Source organism: Homo sapiens, chromosome 3 (assembly GCF_000001405.40).
Source record: "Homo sapiens chromosome 3, GRCh38.p14 Primary Assembly".
Lineage (NCBI taxonomy): Eukaryota > Metazoa > Chordata > Mammalia > Primates > Hominidae > Homo > Homo sapiens.
In genome coordinates, this window is record NC_000003.12 from 38,975,764 (window position 1) to 39,000,222 (window position 24,459).

The 24,459-nt window shown below is 44.0% G+C and overlaps 1 protein-coding gene across 3 annotated transcripts in view, besides 1 other annotated feature; it reads right to left on the reverse strand.

Annotated features, from left to right (window-relative positions):
* Positions 1–24,459, reverse strand: part of SCN11A (sodium voltage-gated channel alpha subunit 11) — a 206,181-nt gene that overhangs the window by 130,000 nt on the left and 51,722 nt on the right. The window contains exon 3 of one of the 3 annotated variants that reach the window (NR_164473.1): positions 1,130–1,359. The exons of the other annotated variants lie outside the window; for them this stretch is intronic. The gene's annotated coding sequence lies outside the window, so the exon portion shown is untranslated. Of the gene's footprint in view, positions 1–1,129; positions 1,360–24,459 lie in introns of those variants that run through there. 3 annotated transcript variants of the gene reach the window in all.
* Positions 3,135–3,636: an enhancer, noted in NCBI's record as "NANOG hESC enhancer chr3:39020389-39020890 (GRCh37/hg19 assembly coordinates)". NCBI's record gives its function as "activates a minimal SCP1, AML or CMV promoter by ChIP-STARR-seq in primed H9 embryonic stem cells {active_cell/tissue: H9 hESC(primed)}" and the evidence as "EXISTENCE:reporter gene assay evidence [ECO:0000049][PMID:30033119]".

Consider the following 24,459-nt stretch of genomic DNA (forward strand, 5'->3'; position numbering starts at 1 on the left):
TGAGATACCTAGCAATTCATAGAGACAGAAAGTAAAATGGTAGTAGCCAGGGGCCGGGAGGAGGGGAGAAAGAGGAGTTGTTTAATGGATATAGAGTTTCAATTTGGGAAGATGAAAAAGCTCTGGAGATTGATCTCACAAACATGTGAATGTACTTAACGCTATATTGAATGGTACACTTTAAAATGGTAGGATGGTAAATTTTATGTTAGGTGTATTTACCACAATATTTTAAAAGGAAAAAAGAGTGGAAATTGTTTAGAATTTTTTTAACCATAAAATGCAGTATAAAGAGAAAACACATAATAAGCATAATAAGATAGTATAAATATATTTTAATATATCAGTAATCACTTTAAAGTTCAATATACTTAACTCTCCAGTGTCATTGTTTTCATATTGGATTTAAAATAACAATCCAGTTACATGCTTGTTATGAGACACAATTAAAATATAAGAAGGCAGAAATATTGAAAGTCAAAGAACAGTAATATACATACTGTCATAAACCAAGTTTCCATACTTATGAGGACTGTTTCTTAGTTTTTACACACTCAAAACATCTACTCACACCTCCCACAAGACACTTTTGAATGCAGCAGACTTAAGGCCTGGGGAGGTGATGGCAGAAATTGCATTACAGAAATACAAACAATTTCAAATCAAATACAGTTAGAGCATTCATAATCTAAAAAATCTGAAGTCAGCAATGCTCCAAAATCTGCAACATTTTGAGCACTGATATGACATTCAAAGGAAATGCTCACTGAAACATTTCAGGTTTCATATTTTCAGATTAGGAATGCTCAACCGGCCTGCAAATATTCCAAAATCTTTAAAAATCTGAAATCCAAGGTACTTCTTGTCCCAAGTATTTTGGATAAGGGATACTAAACCTGTATTGCACACTTGATCTTAGCAGTTCTTTGGTCACCCCACTCCAAAGCTCCAGGCATCATATAATCTCATTGGCTTCTCCCTTAACCCTTCCCCTCTCTCTCCCACACTTGCACCCAGGATCTCTAATTCTTCTTGCTCATCATGCCCAGCAATTCAGCTTTCTCCCGTCCCCCTACCCAAACCCAGTCAATATTCAAATCCATGTAGACGCTCTGAATAATGACAGACATTTTACTTAATAAGAGCCTTCCTTCTCAGAAGGTAGTGATTTATTATTATATGTAGAATTAGAAGCAATCAGGAGAATATTTTAATATCAAATACTGCACAGAGTGTGGCTCATTCCAGAGCAGTAGTTTCTAACCAGCAGTGAGCATCCAACTTCTCAAAAGCCTCTCTGCAAATCCTCTTAATCAGACCTCCTACCATGGATTTGGATCCACAAGTATTTCTGTTAAGCTAAAGAGAAAACAAAAAGAAATTACTGTTGCTGAGTAGGTTGTGATCACTCAAAAAGGAGAAAGAGTGGGTTTCCACTCCACTCTTGACTTCCTAGTCCAGCCCTCCTAATTTGTCTGAAATGTTGCCATGGTTTCTTCTCTAGCCAGTTGGCCTGCTATTCCTCCTCCCGCTCCACTGGCCCTGTACACGCCACATCTGAGACCAGGGCTGCTCAGAAGACTCGGAGGGCTCCCCATTGGCACTGGATAAGAATTCTATCACCTGAACAAGTCACTTTACCCCTCTATGCCTCAGTTCCTTCATTTGTAAGTTGTAGATGGTAGTAATTTGTAGGCAGTCATGAGGTTGATACGGGAATGAAGAGTCAATATTTGAAAACCCTTTAGAACATTGCTTGATACATCATAAGTGCTCAACAAATGCAAGCCATTACCACTGTTAGTGTTGTTTGTGTTTTCTCTGGTTTTGATCACACCTCTTTGCTCTGCAAGTAAAGCTGCAGAATATGGCCCTACCTTCACCTGCCTTTCCAGACTCATTTCCCACTGATACCCAAATTGGAACATCTCCATCACCCAACAACATGCCTTGGAGCTTCCCCTTCTGCGCTTAGCTTACTCTGTAACTTCTACTTGGAATGCATGTTTTTCTTTCTCTCTACATATTGATTAATCAGCAGATAAGCCATTCTTTCAAAGGCATAGCTCAAGTTTACCTCCTCCATGGACTTTTCTCTTCTTGCCACCATCCCATATTAAATCTGCATCATCTCTCACCAGGAATATTTGAATGGTCAGACCATCTTCAGCCTCTCCCCACCAATATTACTATTCTCAATGCTTTCAGAAAATTATTTTCCTTTTAGAAGAACATACATTCACTGATTGTCTATGATGTGCCAAGCACTGTTGGAACCTTCTGCAATATTGCAACTACCCACATACAACAGGTATTACTATCCCCATTTTACAGACAAGAAAACTGATGCTCAATGCCAAGATCACAGAGCTGGTGGTGGAGAGGCCAGGATCCATGACCACATCTGCTTCCTGCAGAACCCACACTTCTTCCACCACAGTCATCTCTGCTCCAGGTTTGCCATTTTTGCCACTTCTACCGAACACCTGTATAACTATTAACTTACTATTTTTATTTATATCAAGTCTATTTTTATTCTTAGATATATTCTTTTTAAAATCTGTATGTCACTCCTGTTCATTAAAAATGAATAACACTTTTCCTCGGCACGGTAGCTCATACCTGTAATCCCAGAACTTTGGGAGGCCCAGGTGGGTGGATAATTTGAGATGAGGAGTTCAAGACCAGTCTGGCCAACATGGTGAAACCTCGTTTCTACTAAAAATACAAAAATTAGCTGGACGTGGTGGCACACACCTGTAATCCCAGCTACTCGGGAGGCTGAGGCAGGAGAATTGCTTGAGCCTGGGAGGCAGAGGTTGCGGTGAACCGAGATCACGCCACTGCACTCCAGTCAGGATGACAGAGTGAGACCCTGTCTCAAAAAAAAAAATTAATAACTCTTTTCATAAACAGAAAGTAATATAAAGTGAAATGAAGATAATTTGATTTTATTAAATTTAAACATGATAAGGAAGGATAAAGAAAAGCTCCCTAATGTGGTTTGTGGACCCAGCGTGCTTTGGCCCTGTCCCCTCCAGCCTCGGCCCCTCCGCTCTCTGCCTTGCCCTTCCACAGCAGCCTTCTTTCTGTCCTTAGTGCTTGCCATGTCACTGCCACAGGGTATTTGCACATGCCACTCGACCTAAAACCTTCTTCCCCATCATGTTTACTTACCTCCTTCTAGCCTTTCAAAGGTCAGCCTCGGGAAACCTTTAAAGAACTTCTAATTGGGCCAAATCCTCTCTACCTCAGGCCTCAGGGCGCTGTGGGTCTCTCCTTCATAGCACTTTTCCCAGGGACAGTTTTGCATTTGTTTGTGAAATTGATTAGCCTCTGTTATGTAAATTCACCAGGGCTATGACTATTCCTGGTTTTGCTCACCATTGAATTTCCAGAATTTAGCATGGTGCCTGACACACTGTAGGCATTTAATAGTATTTGCTGAATGAAGAAAAGAGTGAATGAGTGACTGAATGGTTCCCAGATTTTTGAAATCTAAGTAGTAAAGTGCAATTCCATGTGGATGTAACTTTTTTCTTCCCTAATCAACACCTGTGTTTCTGACTTGATTATGTGGTGTGAGAGATATTGTAAGCTTTCTCCGGTGAGGTCACCACTGCTTCCTTTGACCAAGGAGGCACAGCTGGGTATGGTGCTCACAAGTTTTGAGAGTCAGTGCTTTCTGAATCTTCTGAGTCCTCCAGATACTGCCATCTCCATGGTCCATCCTTTGCAGATCTGTGTCATCCCATTCACACAAGACTGTGACAGATAGGCAGGGGCTTCCATATGGAAAAATAAAGATATAACTAACAAGGTTTAAAACAGCCTTCCATGATTCTTTTAGACTTCACATTTCATAAAACACCAAAAAAATTTGATCATTTCTCTGCCAAGTCTGCATAGTGTTTCTCCAAAGTCTCTCTATCTCCACTGCCAATCTCTAAGTCAAGCTCTTGTCCCTGGCATCTCAACCATTCTAACAGACCCCTCCAGCCTTTGTCTTCTCTAATGGATTCTCTAACAGGCACAGTCCTAAATTCATATATGGGCAGGTTGCCTCTTAGCTGAAAAACTGGGAAGTCTCCCAACTCCCATTTCCCCACAGATCACATCAAGGCTTCCCCAGCAAAAATTTAAAACCCCCTTAGTGCAGACCCCACCCTGCCCATTCAGCTTCTTTGCTCAACAGAAGAGAAAGCCGCTTGTTGTTCTGTGGTCACCCTGAGATTCAACCCAGGCCTGCAGCTCACGTATGGCCCACATCACACCCACACCAGCACCAGGCCCAGGGGACCAGGCAGAAGGAGAACCTGAGCGACTCAGTGTTAGTCCCCACAGCTGAGGAAGCTCTCAGAGGTGCAGACAACCCTTGCTGCTGGGTGCTCGTAAATGCTGGAGGAGGCATCAACTTAGGCACAACTCACAGTAGGTGTGAATGAAAATATCTCTTTCTGCTTTCTTTGAGAAAAAAAAAAATACCAACTCACATTGAAAGAATAGAATCATTTACATTACATGGATCCTGGGAAAACCATGGAAAACTGCACTCAGGGAAAAGAATGGCAGAAACAAGGGGAATCACCTCCAGAGGCAAATTGGTTTCTAAAACCATCTCTCCAGGAAGGGAAGTTAATGGGGAAGCAATTCAACAAAAGACCCAGAACCACTGCAGACAACTGTGATTCAGTGATGTCGGTCATGGAGCCACAGCTGCAATACGCTCTTACTGCGGAGCCCAGGCAAGTCACAGAACCTCTCTGAGTCTGTGATACAGAGATGGTAAACTAAACATCATCAGAAAAGTGGGAGGATAAGGAAAGATATGTGAAGAGGTGTTATAAACTGTAGCCTGGTTTCAAGTGTATATGAGCTCAAGAGAGACCTCTGGGGGCTTTTTGGGTTTTCTGGAGGTGGTTGCTTCTGGCAGAGAGGGGATTACAGATAAATCAGGTCAGATCCAGAATTTTGTCCCCACCTTTGATGATTCAGAAACATTTCATTTATTTAAGAAAATAGTCCTGACTGATATCCAGGGCAGCTTTTCCCCAACATCATGCTACCAAGGAAACCAAATTAATAACCAGAGATTTACTTACTGGGGGTGGAAGCTGAGCCAAAGGAGACCAGATAGTCAGAGACACACTTTTTTTAAAACCACAACTTACACAGAGCCTGAAATTTCTGATACAGTGGAGAAATGGTCTATCAAAACCAGGGTGAGATACCACAGAACACCAGACACAGTATCTCACTCTGTTTGTCGGTAGCAGAACAAACCCTGTAATTGGTTTTCTTCAATTTCAGGAGAAATCCTTTGTCTGCCCTTTCTGTAGATGTCTACCTGTCTGTCTGCATTTTCCACTAGTATGACACAGTTTCCAAGGCTACAGTTTATGCTGTGGTTCTTGGTTTTCTTCCTTATCTTCCTAATTCAGAAAAACCCTAATCTGATCAACCACATGTTTAACAAGCCTTCTCTGAGTTCAGCTTTCCATGTATTACGGAAATTCTTATTATCCAGGAATGTCACTTCCTGACCTGTTGGAGAAATTCAGAGTGCCTTCTTTTGTACTTTAATTACATTTCCAAGTAATTCAGAAAAACAGACTTGGAAAATGGCTTGAATTTGGCTCCAATATGAACAGAGCACTGTGAGGAGAGAAGGACTGAAAAAGCAGCAACATTGAGCACCAAGGTGGCCAGTGCCTCCGGGGCCCATCTTCCTGGTACCTTTAGGCATCAGTGTTTCTGTGTTGTGTGTGTGTGTTTGTGTGTGTGTGTGTGTGTGTGTGTGTGTGTATTCCTCATCCGTGGTCTCAGGAAAGAGCAGCAGACATCTGATTTATGGCAAATTTTTTAGACAAAGTGCCATAGTAGCCATCCCAAGGCCAAGCATGAATCTAGCACCAGGGCAATCCACAGGGAGAATTCCAGTTCAAAAAACATAAGGGAGAGCCTGGCACAGTGGCTCACTCCTGTAATCCCAGCACTTTGGGAGGCTGAGGCAGGCGGATCACCTGAGGTCAGGAGTTTGAGACCAGCCTGGCCAACATAGCAAAATCCTGTTCTATTAAAAATACAAAAATTAGCCGGGCATGGTGGCAGGCACCTGTAGTCCCAGCTACTCAGGAGACTGAGACATGAGAATCACTTGAACCCAGGAGGCAGAGGTTGCAGTGAGCCAAGATCCCAAGGTCATGCCACTGTGCTCCAGCCTGAGCAACAGAGTGAGACTCTGTCTCAAAAAAAAAAAACAAAACAAAAAGCAAAAAGAAAAAAACAAAAACAGACAAACAAAACCACAAGGGACAAGTGTGGCCCCATCCAGCCTCAGGTGTTCCAGTGAGCCGAATGAAGCTGACACGTAGTGCAAAAGGAGATGGCATTAACTTAGAACTGTGGGATTGAGCAAAAGATGAAAGTACCAACTTGGGCCAACCCTGGCCTGTTTGGAACTGGGAGTACTAAGGGGGAAATGACAGTCCCTGCTGCCTACTCTGTGGGACCACATCTGGACCACTACAGGATGCAGAATTCCTGGAACTTTTACTGGGTGTAAAGCGCATTTGTTTCCACAGAGCAAGAGGAAATTAGCTTCATTCTCAACAAAGTGCACAAGTCTTCCTGGCCCACTAAGGCATCCTTTTTTCTTAATGGTTTAATGGGCCCTGGGTAAACAGTGGGTGAGCCCCTGACTTAAATGGAAAGGTCTGAGATTATGTAATACAGCCCTGCCGAGCTAATAAGGCAGGGTGGGGAGCTGCTTCAGAGCTATTGCTTTTATACGAACAACCCAGTGGATTGTTTTACTGGAACAAGCTTTGACATAGGTTTCATTTACTAAGGGAGGAAAATTTCTCTGAAAGTAGGGAATCAGCAGACATAATATATGAAAGATACAGTGGTGAAGCAGCATATAGTTAGTTAAAATGTGTCATGCTACACAGTGACAATGGTGATGGCTCAAGGATGGGGTGGGGGTCAGGAAAGGAAAACCAGGAAGGAAGAACTGTGGACCCAGGGTCAGGATCCTGGGCTGTCATGTAACATCTTCCAATAAATGTGATCTTGGGGGAGACCATTTTGGGCCTTGGTTTCCACATCTGCGAAATGTTATTATAGCCATGAACACTTACTGAAAGCTTACCCCATATGCCAGACACATCTTCCAATCAACTTATGTGAGTTATCTCATTTAATTTTCACAACAATACAAAGTAGCGGGGAAAACTTCTGGCTTCTCTTGAAAACTCAGAAAATCTAACAATGTTGAGTATGAGTCCAAAATGTCAGCAAGAAGCCAGAGCTGAATAGGGAAGGCTGTTTTAGATGAGACCATTAGCCACAGACCTCACCACTCTTCTTACTGTGCTACTTATTTCCTTTATAGTACCTGAGTGGTTCCTGCTGCGTGTGGGTTTGTGGCCCCTGCATTAGATGGCCTTCATGATTCCTCTTCACCCCTGAGCTTTGATGTTTTTTGCTCCATGTCACCTTCACCAGAGTGGTCAGGCCATTCTTCAATATTCAGACCTAGGCAAAAGGTGCATGACTTTGAACTCCCCTAGTTAAGTTAAGGCTTCTAGAAAGAACAGGCTTTGGGAGCTGAGGAAGGGTGCTCACTGTGCCCTATAAAATAGAGTTTCAATAGACACTGGGTCCTCTGTGGCCTGACCTCCCCTGTGTCAGCAACTTGAGTCTCACTTGAATGGGGAAAGAAAGTAATAGAGAAATGAACAAGGAAATTCTGAAACCCTCAAGACAAACAAGGACCCTCCTATCATTAAGGTAAAGCCAAGTGTGACCCTAAGGCAAGTTACTTAACCTCTGCGTCTCAGTTTCCTCATCTATAAGTTAATGACAACCTCTACCCCATAAGGGAGCTTGAAAGAAAATCCAAAAAAGAAAGAATCTCTTTGAGTTGCTAATGACTCTTAAGTTTCTGGTTCTAGTCCTTTGACCATCATGACAGTCCTATGGTTTTACGAAAGAACTATCCATCTCTATTTAAAAAACAAAAAACACAAAGACCTTTTTTGCTTAAGCTAACTTGTGTTGGGTTTCATCCACCAGGAAGTTAGAGAGAGAAATTACTTAGAGATAAACTTACACATTACAAATCCTTCTGTTCTGTGTGCTTTTAAAAATGTTCAATTTCTAAATGGGCCTCTGGTGAAGATAATGATCACCTCATTGATTTGTTCCCAGGAGAACAGGGTAAAATGAAGTCCTGCTGATCACATTTCTAAATCTTTTTAGTCCCATTGCTTTGGGAAAGTTTCCACACCAGTCATCCTTCTACAGCCTCCCTCTTTCCCACTGTTCCTTCTCTGCAACCACCAGGAAAGGAGGAATCCCAGAGCAGTCTTGCTCCATGACCATCAGGTCCTTTTCACTCATAATCCTCTTAGACCACATTCTCTAGGAATGTACTCATTCTTCAATGGGTGCCTCCACTGAGGAAGGTGCCCTATTCATCTGGAGACCAACATGTTCAGAGCTGCTAGTATCTGCCTCCTTCTGGCTCTTCAACATTGCATTCAATCTAAAGAGCTCCCCCTACCTTCCCATAATTGTTATTTTAGTTTAAATAAGAAAGAGCTGGTTTCTGTTGTTTGCAACCCAAGAACCCTAAATCCAATATGGCACCTTAGTGGTGAGGACAAGGGGGTAGATGGTAAAAGGGAGATATTGATATTGAATTGTCAAGGAAAGCCTTTCTGAGGAGGTGAAATTTGTGCTGAGCTTTTTTTTTTTTGAGACAAAGCCACACTCCTGTCCCCCAGGCTGGAGTGCAATGTCATGATCTTGGCTCACTACAACCTCTGCTTCTCAGGTTCAAACAATTCTCCAGCCTCAGCCTCCCAAGTAGCTGGGATTACAGGTACCTGCCACCATGCCCGGCTAATTTTTGTATTTTTAGTAGAGACGGGGTTTCACCATGTTGGCCAGGCTGGTCTCAAACTCCTGCCCTCAGGTGATCCGCCCACCTTGGCCTCCCAACGTGCTGGGATTACAGGCGTGAGCCACTGTGCCTGGCTGAAATTCGTGTTGAGCTTTCAATGAAGGCACGCGAAAGTCTGGGGGAGGGAACATTCCAAGAAAATAAGAGCAAATGCAAAGACCTTGACTCAGAAACACATTCAAGGGCAGTGAGGAGGCCAGTGTGACTAGAGTTGAGTGAATGAGCAAGCATAGTAGGAGATGAGGCAGAGATGTAGGCAGGGGCTGGATTATGTATGGTCACTAGGCTGCAGCAGACTATTTCAGTTTTGTGATACAATGAAAGCCACAGGAGGGCTTAAACAGAGGATGACATATTCGGATTTTTTAAAAAAATGTCTTTCTGGCTGGCTGTCTTTTTTTTTTTTTTTTTGAGACAGAGTCTTGCTCTGTTGCCCAGGCTGGAGTGCAGTGGCGCAGTCTCAGCTCACTGCAAGCTCTGCCTCCCGGGTTTATGCCATTCTCCTGCCTTAGCCTCCCGAGTAGCTGGGACTACAGGCACCCGCCACTACGCCCGGCTAATTTTTTTTTGTATTTTTAGTAGAGACGGGGTTTCACCGTGTTAGCCAGGATGGTCTCGATCTCCTGACCTCGTGATCCACCCATCTCGGCCTCCCAAAGTGCTGGGATTACAGGCGTGAGCCACCGCACCCGGCCTGCTGGCTGTCTTAAGAATCAACTGTTAGGGACAGGTGTAAAAATGAAAAGATCAGTGGGGACACTGTTGCAGGAGTGCAGGCTGGAGGTGACCATGGCTTGGGTGTGAGCTATGGCAGTGAAGATGGAGAAAGGCAGATAGATTTGTGAAACCATTTCAAGAAAAAGCTGTCTTACATAATTTGCTGATGTGGATTGTGAGGGGAAGAGTATAATCAAGGCTGAGTCTTGGATTTTGGACTGAACAACAGCATAAATGCATTTGCCATTTGCTGGGATGGTGAAAACTAGAAGAGACATGTTGTTTAAAGTATTAGTCATCTACTGCTGTGTAAGAAATGACCTCAAAACTTAGTGGCTTAAAATAGCCATAAGTGTTTACCATCTCACAGTTTCTATGGGTCATGAATTCCAGAATGGATTAGCTGGGTTCCTCCAGCTCATGATCTCTCCTGAGGTTGCAGTCAAGATGTTAGCTAGTTGGTCTTGGTTGGGACTAAAGGGTCTGCTTTGCAGGTGGCTCACTCATGAGGCAAGGTTGTACTGGCCATTGGTGGGAAACTGCCATTTCTCCCTACCGGGACCTTTCCACAGTCTGTTTGAGTGTCCTATACAAGTGATGTAAGAAAGTAAGGCAAAAGCCACAATGTCTAGCTTTGGAAGTCACACTTTTTGATTTGCACAATATCCTGTTAGTTATACAGATCAGCTGCCTTCATTGTGGGAGGAGACTACACATGGGCATGAATACTAGGAGCTGAGAATCACTAGAGGCCATTTCAATGGACCGTCACCACACCATCCACACTGCTGCCAGAAGGAAGTGCCGACAGAGCCAGCAGATGCGTCAGGGAGGCCAGTCTAATAAAGAGGAACTGAAGAATATGCAGGAATAGGAGTGGAATGATCAGTTTCAGAGAGATACAAATGGATCAAAGGGAATGATTCCAGACACATGGAATGGAGACTTCAGTGGAGCTGGGTGTTCCCCATTGAAGTGTGAGCTGAGCTGGACAGACCCTGCTTCTGCCTTACATACTGAGTGGCCCACCAGGCTTTATGAACGGTGATGCAGTGAGGTGACCACAAGAAAGAAGAGGGAACCCCGAAACTGAAGATGTAAAAAGAAATCAATCCAGGCTGCTAATCAGGTTTAAGATGCAAGTATCTCTCCCTCCCTCCTTCTCTCTCTCTCTCTGTGTGTGTGTGTTGTTGTTGTTGTTGTTGTATTGAGTGGGAGTAGAGTTGGGGAATGAGCCAGAGATCAACCATGTTGGAGAGGAACAAACAAAGGACAAGGAGGCATTGAAATATGGGGCAGATCCATACAATACTGATACAACCAAGTGGAAGTCCTGCAATTAACCCTGCGATTTTTGCAGCCTGGCCATGCAGAGCACAGCTTTGTGTTTGAGGTTTGTACTGAGTCTCTTGGAGCAAGGATCTATAGAGCCACATGTCATTTTCCAGCTGTGAGACCACTTTCCCCTTGACAGGTCAAGGTGGAATTCAGTCCCCTGCATTTTTGTACCCCTACCCGTTTCTTTCCGCACCTGGACAACTACAGCAAGACCAGTAGAGACACATCCCATTGAGAAACACAAGGCTCTGCCTACCACACACACACAAGTGTTTAATGTGAAACCACCCCAAACACAGTACATAGTGACTAATGCGCAGTAAAAGACAGAAGCTGAGTATCTTTGGAAGGGAGGATGGGAAAATTAACATCACAGGCATTCATCCATCTCTCCTCTTTCCTGTCCTGTCCTGTCCTCTTTTCATCGCTCCTTTCTCCCCTATTCCCTCCTCTTTCTTCTTCCTCCCTTTCTCTCCCTCCCAGTGCCTTTCTCTCTCTCTCTCTCTCTCTCTCTCACACACACACACACACACACACACACACACACACACACCTGTCCTGTCCTTTACAGGATTCACTCATCTTGCAAGGCTGGCTAATGGCACAAGCATGTCTGGGGCCCATATTTCTAGCTTACAGCTTCTTCCACAGGGACAGGGCTGTCTCTCTCTCAGTGCCTGAACCTTCTTAGGGACTCCTCAAGGAATGTGGATCAAGTATTGAGGAAAGTAGTAATCTCCCCAAGACACTCTGAGATCCAAGACTTTTCTCCTAAGAGCAGGCATCACACAAAGGAGACACCATTTGCCCATGTGACCTGAAGGGGTCTAACTTCATCCCTGAGGCGACCTCACACTCGTTCTGGACACTGGCACTTCAGTGAAGCCTAGTTGATCAAATTTGATGAATCTTACCTTAAAAATGCAAAGAGCAGGCTCTGTGAAGCCACAGAGCCCGGGGCTGCTCTCTCAGGGAGCCAAGGTGCCCTCTTGCTCCAGGCCCAGCCTTGAGGAGAAGTTTTCTTAATAAAGGACCACATCCCAAACCTGTCTGGCTTCTCCAGCAGCAGAATATTTCACTGCCCTGTTTCTGTCTCCAGCCCACATTTGCAGAGCTTGCACATAACTCACTTTGCCATCCTGGGAAGGATTTGAGCACAAAGTCTGCAGTTCAGCCTCAGAATCAAGCGTGAGGGAAACAGTCATACCGTCCTGCCTCCAGGACTAGCTACATAATTTGTGGCGCCCGGTGCAAATGGGAATTTGAGGCTCCTTGTCCATAAATAATTAAGAATTTTAGAATGGTGACAACAGAGCATTAAAGCACTGGGCTTTCTGAATGCAGGGCCCCATGTGACTGCACCAGTTACACACACATAAAGCTGGCCCTGCCTGCCTGTGACTTCCCCTGAGTCCACAGCCTTGATGCCTGCCCTTAACATCCTTCCAGCCAGTCTCCCTGCTTGCCTCTCTAGCCCTGGGCTGAGCCACACAGGGCTCTGAAGGAGAAATACTCTTCCTTCCTTATTTATCACCTATCTCTCATTCTCTGAGCCTAGGCAATTCCATCATTCACCTCCTGGCCAGTACAGACCCTGTGGCCTCCATCACAAGTCTCTGGGCTCCCCCATCCCTCCTTGTTACAGTTCTCTCCCCGTCTGCAGCTCATGCCTGCCCTCCACACACCTTGCAGTCTCTTTCTGTCTCAGGTAGTCCTCGCACACATCTTTCCCCTGTCCAGCCCTTACTCCATCTCCCTGCCATTGTTTCTGAAAGCCATCGCCTCATTTATTCGTCTTGTCACCAGGATTCTGCCCAACAAAAGAGTTCTACCATCAGCTTGGGAATATTCCCTCCCCTCATAACAACTCCGTTCAGAGTGTTATAAGACTGCTAGGCTTTAAAGATATTTTATAAGTGACAGGAGATATCTAAAAGTTTATTTTTATTACAACTCTGATTTTATAAATGAGGAAATAGGAATGTGGATGGGGTAAGTGGCTTGTCCAAGGTCACATAGCTAGTGAGTGGCAAAGCCAAGACGGGATTCCAGCACCTGCTGACTCCTACTACAACTCCTAAAGTTGGGACTGATGGGGTCATAGGAGAATAAAAGAATAAGGACATAAAGGAAAAAGGCAGTATGTGGTTTTTTAAAAACAATGGCTGCATATTCTTTGGCACCACTGAGAGGTGGGGATCTATGTCCCTTCTCTTGAGTCTGGGCAGGTTTGTGACTGCTGCAACCATTAGAGTAAGGTGGAAGTGATGAAGGGTCAACAAAAGTCTGCCTGGTTCTCCTGTGATGCTCACTCTGGGGGAAAGCCAGCCTCCATATAAGAACTCCAGACATCCTGAGACTGCGATGCTGGGGAGACCACAAGTAGCGCTCTGGTCAACAGCCCTAGTTGAGCATCCACCTAGCAGCCAGCATTAACTCCAGCCATGCAATGAGCAATCTTGGACTTCCAGCCAGTTGGGCCATTAGAAGATTCCAGCCCCTGCCTAAAAGTTTTTTTTAACTGAGGCCCCAGACATCATGGAGCAGAAACCCGCTGCCCTGACTGAATCCCTAACCCACAGATCTGTGAGTATACTAAAATGGTTGTTCAAAGACAGTAAGTTTTGGAGTGAGCTGTTATGCAACAGTAGTAAGCTGGAACAGCTAGGTACAACCCGTGCATCTGTCCACTGATGTTCAAGTCATAAATTTCACATGACTTACTCTAACTGCTTTTCAGAATTCCTTCAACAGGCAACAAAAAGATGGTGCTTTTGAAGAATGTGCTTAGAAAGAGCAGGGATTCCTCTTCCTCATCCACATGCCTCAGTCCAGCCAGGTCTGCTTTCTGAAAAGAAGTGGAGAGGCTAGGGTTCCAACTCCAGTTGCATACTTAACTTCTCTGAACTTCAGTTTTTCCTCTGTAAAATGGGAATTAGTGAGTAATTCCACATAGTGGAACTGGTAGGTGATTTTAGGAGAGCAAATGTGTGAACATGCTCTGGGAACTTTGCAGCACATTATGAAAATAATCATTAAGGCCCCCTACAATCCGTTCCCCCGTCCACCCCACCCCCTCTCATTTTATCTTGGTGCCTGGTAGATACAGGGTGACTCTGTCGAAATAATGTTCCCAGTCCAAGCCATTAGCTTTCCAGAGGCTCACACAGCTGTCATCTTTCTCTTCCAGTTTGCACCTTTCCAATAAAAGCATTGCCTCTTTTGATTACAGGAGAATTCACTCTAATTGACTTCCAGGCATTAAAGTTTTACTGAGATGAGCTCAGAGGCTCCCTGGGGATCAGGGGAAGTGCAGAGCATTGCTGCCCTTAGGGCCCTGGTGCTGCCGAGAGTTTCTAAAACAGTTGGCTCTAAATTTTGGCAGAGCGACTTCTGGGGAATATAAAGAGCAGCTCAGAGCAAGGGAGGCACTCCATCTCGACTTATCCGAGGTGCTGGAGGGGAGAAACTGCTGGGCCCCGGGCTCCCTGCTGCATCTCACTCACCTCTGCAATAAGGGGCAGAGACCGAACACAGACATGGAGGCCCTCACACCTGCATTCCTGACCCAAATCTGCCCACACAATGCCTCTATGTGGGCACAAAGGAGTGAAAGGCATGGCGCCTGCCCTCAAAAAGTCAGCATTATGCTTGCATGTATGATAGGTGTTGAGATAATGTGAGGCAATATAATTAGGTGCCAATTTAGATGGCATAATTAGCATTAAAAGAGGTAAATTGGAGGAGGAGAGAGGAGCAAAGATTAGGGATGACTGAGAATGGTTTCCTACTAGGAAGGAAACAAGTGCTGGGCCTTTGAGAACAATAACAATAGTAAACACTTACATACCACATGCTCTGTGCCAAATCCTGTGCAAGCCCTTTATATACTTTAACACATTCATTCCTCCCCACAGCCCTTCGAAATAGAGTCTGCTTCCAATCCCCTTTTCACAGATGAGAAAATCATGGCATGAAAAGGTTAAGAAACTCGGCACAGGTCAGAGCTAGCAATTGGTAGAGGCAGGATGTGGAGCCAGAAAGTCTGACTCAGGGGTCTGTGTTCCTGACCACCACACTGTGTGTCTTTCAAGGCAGTAAAGGAGATGAGAAGGAAGGGAAGTACCTTCCAAGCAGGAGACACTGCAGGCACAAATGCACAGAGTGGGGACTCTGCTCCCCATTCAGTGGCCAATCACATCTTTCTTCCGTCTCCTGGGGGAAAAAATAATCATGTATATGGTTTTTTGTGCTTAGGAAATTTCCAGGATGATATGGAAAAATAAATGTTATCAGTGATTACTTCTTAGAAATGGATGGGAGTGAAGTGAAAAAAGTATTTTATACTTTCTAAAAGTTAGAAAGTTTCACCTTGAATCACTTTTACAACTAAATATTGTTTTATAAAAAACAAATTAAGACTATCCTCCCCATGCCCCACCATTTCTCTGAAGGAAACAGTTGCTCAGAAGGAGAAGAAGACCAAGCCAGGGCCAGTCCTTGGGCAGCAACTGGGTACAGGGAAGATGAGCCTATGGACTCTTTCCTCCGCCCAGAGGGAGCTGGGGACCTGCCCTCCTGCCAGCTCACAGAATCCATCCTTCAGGCTCTGGACACTATGCTCACCCCCACCCTCTCTTCCTTTGTCTCTGAGCTCCCCAACCTTCCTACTCACAACTGTGTGTTTGCGGCGATCATAGAGAGATGAAGACCTCTTTGTTTGACCTGATAATGTTGTGCAATTTCCTAAAGTTACTTGACAGCTTACAAAAATTGACAAAATTTGTATAAAAATTTGGATTTCTGACTTTGGATAAAACCAAAAGATCTGACAATCCTAGGCCTCCATTTTCACTGGACAATTTGGAAGCGGAGTTGATGTTAAGGTCAAATGTCATTTACATGGCACCTATGCTGTTGTTTTTCTTATAACTGGCCTGCTTGCTTAGCTACATCACCTGCTGGGTCCTGGTAAGCAGTTGAATTGGCAGTCTGTGCTTTATTTTTTATTTATTTATTTTATTGTATTTTATTTTTGAGACAGAGTCTCACTCTATCCCCCAGGCTGGAGTGCAGTGGTGTGATCTTGGCTCACTATAACCTCTGCCTCCCAGGTTCAAGTGATTCTCATGCCTCAGTTGCCTGAGTAGCTGGGATTACAGGCGTGCACCACCATGCCCAGCTAATTTTTGTACTTTTAGTAGAGACGGGGTTTTACCATGTTGGCCAGGCTGGTCTCGAACTCCTGACCTCAGGTGATCTGCCCATCTCGGCCTCCCAAAGTGCTGGGATTACAGGCATGAGCCACCATGCCTGGCCAGTCTGTTCTTTAGATTGCAAATAACTCCCAGTTGTTTCACACTTCTGCTTTCCCAAAGATTCTTGAGTGCAGAAACGAAGTCCAATACATCCTTTGCATTCCACCTATATTCTAACAGTGAAGCTTTTCATTGAAGGCCTGATGAACTGATGTCATGATTAAGTTACAGAGTAAAGACCTGGATTTCAGTCTATCCAGGATTGGCTATGGCCACATCATCTGTGCAGCTCAACACTCAATCCTCCTCAAGAATGGTCTGTGCTTTTATGCCTCGGAATATTGATAGACAACATGCTGCTCTCCCCTTGGCTTATGGTTTTACTAAATATAACTGCTGATTTCTGTTATCTGTCTTTACAAACAAACTGCATCCTCTGGTGGATCTGCCTTCCCCGCCTTGACAGTCAACTTCCCATTACATCTCTCTTGCTCATGCATATTATATGAATGACTCATGTATCAACAAAAGGAAGAATCCCTTATAGCTTTTACTTGATTCATTTCAAATAGTAAAAGAAAATACCCTTACAGCCTGTGTGTCATGCTAAACCTCTTTCATACCTTTAGTCTCACCAAATACTTTCAGCAACCCCCGGAAGGTGGCATGGTCACCATATTACAGATTAGGAAACCAATGCACAGATAGGTCAAGTAACTTGCCAAGCATCATATCTCCCAGCTGGGACCTGCATCTAATCAAGTGCTTTTTCCTGATACATCAAGGGCAGGTAGAGTTTTACTGGCTACCTTTCCCTCTTCCATTTTGCTTTTGTTCACTGCCTAGCCTTCAGCTGTGGGCCAGGCTGAGAGCTTCCTACGCCACTCTCCTACCTTACCACACACACTTGCCAGCTCAGTCCTAGGTCAGGTACAGACATCCCCGATTCTCAGGAGCAATGGCCAATGCTGCACTCTGCCCACTCAGCCCCAGAGAACTGGTCCCTAATGGGTTGCAATAAGAGGAAAAGAATATGTGGTTCTCTCGAGGCATTCCTCTGCCTCAGATTACCTGTGACCGTGATTGTTTGAGATGACTGTGACTCCCAAGTGCTTGAGAATCCACCTGGACTCCTCTGGGGTGGCCATGGGAGAACAACAGTGTCCTTTTTGAAGGGCCTTGTAAGGGACAACATACGCCAGACACTGGAGCGCCTCTGGGAGTTTTATTCATTGGAGAATCCAGGATGAAGGCTACCGGGATCAGAAAAAAAAGAGCCCTAACAGAAGCCAATCTCAAATGCCACTGAGAGGCACTGAGCCAAAGCTGGGTCTCACTCTCCTCGGCCAGGTTATGTCGTATAGCAGATGTCTCAGAGTTATGCTAGCCTTGGCTCCCTTCTCCTCCTCTAAAACTTCTAGTTTCCAATCACATACTTTCATACTAAACAGGACGGAAATTGGTTTTACTATAAGAAACAAATCATGTGTTGATCGTAACATCAGGCCAAGAGGAACTTCTGGTCACTGAAATTTCATAAAACTACAGGGAGGCACTGCAAATGCAGAAGAAACAGAGGTCTGAGATAGGAAAATCTACACATTCAAAGAAAGAAACACCCAAGCAGTCTTTTTTCATCACTTTTCTCCTGGCCTGTGTGCAACGGTATCAGCTGCTGTTTATGCCCTGTCCAATATCCCACCTATCCCAGCCCACCTAAGTTCCACAGCACTGGAGATGTCTTCCAACCCCTCAAGTGCCTAGTGTCTCTCTTCTTTTCTGCCTCCTGCATGCAGGGAACTTGGAGTAGGGGGCTGCAATTAACACCACTGGGGGCAAGTTCTCCACAAATTACATGGGAAGCAGCCTTGCCTTCCTCTAGTGGGAAGATTTTGCAGCATCTTCCATGCAGTCTCTTAGAGGGTCCCAGTGCGGTGCAGCCCTAGCTGTCCACGCAGTAACCATTCATTAGCATACTCTACATGGACTTTTCTCCTTTCCCTGCCTCATTCTCCTCTGTCCTCAACTGGTCTTCCTGGGATCGCTCCCCAAATAAATTCTGTGCATCCAAGTCCTTGTTTCAGGGTCTGAAAGAAAAGAATCAAACTAGACACAAGATAAGACTAAAAACTAACTCAGTGATATACTTTGATTGCAATTATTCTTATTTTTCTTAATGCTAATTATAAAGTATTCCTATATATTGTCATGGCAGAACGATGGACCAGCTAAGCTCCTGGATCCCTGTATAGGAACCTGTAACAGGATGGTAAAATGAGCACCCAGGATACTGAGCGTCACATTTAAGGTGAAATGCTGGACTAGCATAGGAAATGTTCAGAACATGTTTAGGACATTTCTAGGGTACTTATATAAAACTGTTTCCAAGACTCTTGGCCACTTTCCCATTTGTTGTTGACGTTTAAGAGGCCACAAGCTGGAAAAGAGAAAGAGGATCTCTTTGGAGAGAACTGTTGGTATATTATGATTCCTCCCTACTTCTGCCCTCATATCCATCAGAGATAAGCATGTAGGTTTACAAGCCCCTACATCAAACCTAGTGAGAGGACATCAAGGAGCACTCCTGAGGAAGTTGGCCTAAGTCCCTTGGAGTCTGCAGTGTCTGTGGATCATGGAGGGGTTTGTCAAGCCAAAGCATGGGGAGTGTTTCTATGGACGAAGTGGGAGGCAAAGGGGAGAGACAATTTAAATAGACTTGGCCCACAAGATCCACCTGGAGACAGATGGAAGCTGGAGGGACCTACACTCACAGGGCTCTGGGGGAGAGACTCACATGGCCAGCAGAGGAGCTATTTGTCTGCAGCTGAGAGGCTGCCAGAAATGTGAGGCCAGTCTCTGAAGACCCACAGAAGCCCCACAAAGCCGTCAAGGGAAACACCCCTGCCTCTCATTCTACCTCCCTACCTCCTCGCATCTACATTCACCCACCCTCCACCCTCAAAGATACAGACACACTTCCTGGGAAGCTAACAAGCTTGACAGGAAAGGGTAGAAAAGACTTAGTGTGACTTCTGGGCCCCAAATAAGCCCATATCAGCATATAAGGGAAGCTTTAATTTAAGAACTTTTTTTTTTTTTTTGAGTTGGAGTCTCCCTCTGTTGCCCAGGCTGGAGTGCAGTGGCGCGATCTCGGCTCACTCCTCCCGGGTTCACGCCATTCTCCTGCCTCAGCCTCCCGAGTACCTGGGACTACAGGCACCCACCACCATGCCCAGCTAATTTTTTGTATTTTTAGTAGAGACAGGGTTTCACCATGGTAGCCAGGATGGTCTCCATCCCCTGACCTTGTGATCCACCTGCCTCGGCCTCCCAAAGTGCTGGAATTACAGGCGTGAGCCATGGCACCCGGCCAATTTAAGAAGTTTAAGAAGAAATGTGAATGGAGTTTCCTGGATGAAATTAGTGTTTGAATTGTGGACTCAGTGGACCACCTTCCTCCATGTTGGGAGGCAGGGAGCATCATTTAATCTGCTGGGGGTCTGAATAGAACAGAAAGGAAGAGGAAGGAGAAATTCCTCTCTTTTCCTTCCCACCTGCCTGTTTGAGCTGGGACCTCAATATTCTCCTGCTCTTGGACTAGAATTTACAGCACTGGCTCCCCTGGTACTCAGGCCTTTGGGTTTGGACTAGAATTACACCACAGTTTTTCCTGGTTCTCCAGCCTGCAGATGGCTGAATGTGGAACTTCTCAGCCTCCATAATAATGTGAGCCAATTTCTCACAATAAATTGTCTATCTATCTATCTATCTGTCTATCTATCTATCTATCTATCTATCTATATTTTGTTTCTCTGAAGAACCCTGACCAATACAAAGCCATAATCCCACAATGTACAGATAAGGATGTATATAGAGATAAGGACTGTGAATAAGGTCATAAGAATGTGACTCTAATCTGATAGAGCTGGTACCCTTGCAAAAGATGAAGAGACACCAGAGCATGAGCGCGCGCTCTCTCTCTTTCTGTCTACTATGTGAGAACACAGTGAGAAGGTGACCATCTACAAGATAGGAAGAGGGCCCTCACCAGGAATTTAATTGTATGGCAACTTGATCTTGGACTTCCCAGCCTCCAGAACTATAAGAAATAAATTTTTTTTTCAGTCATCCCACCTGTGATATTTTGTCATAGAAGCCTACTCTTAGACACATATAAATGTACAGAAAGGGTGGATGGACATAGGCACTGGTTCACAGAGAAAATACAGTCAAAAGACAGAGCCCAGAAGCACCCATGTAGCATTATCCAGGGCAGGGAGTGCCTAGCAGATAGGTATTTCAATCTGCTTGAAAAGAATGTCCTTTTCAAGGATGAGTGTATCTTGCTGTCAAGATTCATAACATCAACCATCATTTATCCAATTAGCCTCATTTGCAGGAATCCCAGACTTCGTGATTAGGTGGCTTCCAGGAAGCATTTTTCTAAAGACTCTAGGAAGCTGCCATAAGGCCCCAGTTATCTTGGCAGTGTTGTCTTTTATTGTAAATGAATAAATCAACATCAGCCTTGTGTGGACTTTGAACTTGAGACCCTACTTTTGAGAAGATCAAAGTGCTGAGAAGATAATGTTCCCATAATACTACAACTGCATTGACCCACCTATTAGCATCTGCATCCATAATCACTGTCTTCCCTCCTGCGGTATATTGCGAAGATGGCAACAAATTCTTCCATGCCCTATAGTTGTGTAAATTTGCGGTTTCTCCCATCAAGAAGGAGAGTCAACTGGACATGGTGGTGCATGCCTGTAGTCCTGGCTACCAAGAGGCTGAGACGGGAGGATCACTTGAACCCAGGAGTTCAAGGCTGCAGTGAGCAGCCACTTGATCATGCCACTGTACAGGATAAATGTTAATTCTTCCTTCACCGCCAATCACATCTTACTACTTTCTTTGCCTCCTCCTGGGTTTACATGACCATCAGTTCCCCGCTCAGTTACCACAAGTGGCCTCCTAACTAATCCCCCTGCTTCCACCCTTGCCCCCTCTAATCTATTCTCAACGTAGCAGTCCAGTGATCTTTTAATAAAGTCATGTCATGTCACTGCTCTGCTCAGAACCTTCCCATGGTTCTCCGTTTCTCTCAAAGTCTTCACAGTGACCTCAATGACCTCCAAAGCCCTGTTCTATCTGCTTCACTCCCATTAAATCTCTGACCTTGCTTTTGGTCTCTCTTACTTACACTTACTCCACTTCAACCACATCAGTCTTCCTGATGTTCCTGGGACAAACCAGGATGCTCTCCTCTTAGGGTTCTGGCCCTGGCCATCCCCCTTTGCTGGAGTACTCGTCCCCAGATGTGAAAATGCCTAGCTCCCTCATCTCCTTTAAGTCTCTGCTCAACTGTCACTTTCTCCATACATCTATACCAGTCACCCTATTTAAATTATAATCCACAAAGAAATCCCAGTCCTCATGCTATGCTTTATTTTTATTTTTCGTTTCCATAGTACTTACTCTCTTTTAACATCATATACAACTTATTAGGTTTGATACGTATTCCTCTGCCCCCACTAGAATGTTAGCTACACAAGGGCAAGGATCTGTATCTGTTTTGTTCACTGACAATCTCATGTGCCTAGAACAGTGGATAGAACACAAATGAGACACTTAGTAAATGTTTGTTGAATGGCTAAGTTAGTGCTTGAATAATGGAGATAAATGAATGTGGAATCTCCATGTTCATCTCTAATTTTCCATCTCCAAAGATTCAGAAAGGAGCATAGGCCTTAGACAATGGGGCTTTCCCCACCGTCTGCAGTATCACATAATACCTGTAAGTATTTATCATGAATACCAACCAATGCCTGTTAAGGTACATGTTTATGGATTAATACTTTTAATTCAAGATATCCTCACTTGGGACAATGAAGGTGCATACTGATAGGAGAGAATCCGATTTTAAAAATAAATGTATTAAATATCTATAACTTAAGGATGAGAAGAAAAGGATTTTCATAATCCCCTTCCAAAAACAGAGGGATTCTTTGCTTTAACAACTCCCTCCCATAAAAAAGAAGTCTTGCTTTTTAAACATGGAACTTCTCCCAAAACTGATTAGAATGAGACTCACTTTATAAATATTTACATGTACTGTTTTTCAGAAATATGACTACTACGTTAAGGGAAGGAAGAACAAACAGTTATCTCTGCAGCTGAATTTCTCACGAAGTCCAGAGGGCAGCTTTTATGAGCCATCCCAGCATTTCTGTGATTTAAGTTTGAAGCAAGCAGATGTAGCCATCATAGGAAAATGTCATTCCTCTTGGAGGAAGAAGCTGGATGAGTGAGTCTGGAATCGGGTTTGCAATCTCCACTAACCAAACACATAGCAGCACTTCTATGATGCTTTTATGTCTAGTGGGCTTTGTAAGCTCTTATAAGGTAGAATTAAGGAGTTACTAGTTCAACCATTGTGGAAGTCAGTGTGGTGATTCCTCAGGGATCTACAACTAGAAATACCATTTGACCCAGTCATCCATTACTGGGTATATACCCAAAGGATTATAAATCATACTGCTATAAAGACACATGCACACATATGTTTATTGCGACACTATTCACAATAGCAAAGACTTGGAACCAACCCAAATGTCCAACAATGATAGACTGGATTAAGAAAATGTGGCACATATACACCATGGAATACTATGCAGCCATAAAAACTGATGAGTTCATGTCCTTTGTAGGGACATGGATGAAGCTGGAAACCATCATTCTCAGCAAACTATCACAAGGACAAAAAACCAAACACCACATGTTCTCACTCATAGGTGGGAATTGAACAATGAGAACACATGGACACAGGAAGGGAAACATCACACACCGGGGCCTGTTGTGGGGTGGGGGGAGGGGGGAGGGATAGCATTAGGAGATATACCTAATGTTAAATGACGAGTTAATGGGTGCAGCACACCAGCATGGCACATGTATACATATGTAACTAACCTGCACGTTGTGCACATGTACCCTAAAACTTAAAGTATAATAATAATAATTTTAAAAAAGCCTATTTAAGGATAATTATTCCTGGGAAAAGTCTACTTAACATGAATCCACTTAAATGGGAAGCAACATTTTACAGCAAATAATGGAGGTAAGGGAGAGTGTGGATTGAAGCTTTAGCTTTAAAAGAACTAAAAATTATAATACTACATTTGTTTTCTTTTACATGTAACCACTTTTGATTATCATTGCAACTATAGACGAATTCTTAGGACAGGAAGTTGAATCAAGACTCATTTTGGTGTGCTTTTTTTCTAAAAAACAAAATTGTAAGGTGGCAAAATATGGCATCCATCATTTCTCATTTGACCTTCATATCAAGATTTTAAAGAAGGTAAATTTTGCAAAATAATCAAGGACTTCACTTTTCTCCAGGACCTCTCCTAACCCTTTGAATTTCTAATTATCCCCTTTTGAAGACTCTATTATGTCATCATCTTTGTTAATTTTCTCTTCTTCAATTGTAATCAAACTCTGCCAGACCCTCATTTCTTGGAGGCATTCTAATAATTATTCCATCAGTCCTCCTCCATTGCTTTCATTATCTTAGTGAAATCCTTCATGTTTGTGAGATTGGCAGTTTCACCTTGCAATTTGTCAGCATAATAATCACAGTAAAAACACCTGACAATAATAGTGGGTGGGAGTAGATGCCAGTGTTAAGCCAGAGGGAGGTGTGAGTGGAGACTAGCTTTATAAGGTTCTGTTAGTGAACATTTCGTGTTGGGATGACCTTTGCTTCCCAACTTATAATTATAGGTACTCCAATAGTAAATACTCTGAAAATGAGGTTCCCCTGCACTCAAAAACAGGAATTAGCATTGCAGGTTCTTGGTGAAAGTACTAATTGGAAGAAGTGTGATGATGGATATAGCACCTGGAAAGGTGATCAGCTGTAACCTATGCATGCTGGCTGAGGAACTGACCAATACCCCCTCAGGCTTGGCTCTCAGCTCCTGTAGGTTTGAGCCCTAAAATGTGGTCAACACCTGAAGCTAGAATACTGAAAAGATAAAGTAACACAAATATCTGCTTTGTAGCTACTGCCATCTAGTGACTTTAAACTTCATTTCCAATTTGATGTTTGTTAACATCATAACCAACTCTAGGGGGCAATACATTGCATGTAGTCTGTGACTTGGATGGCTT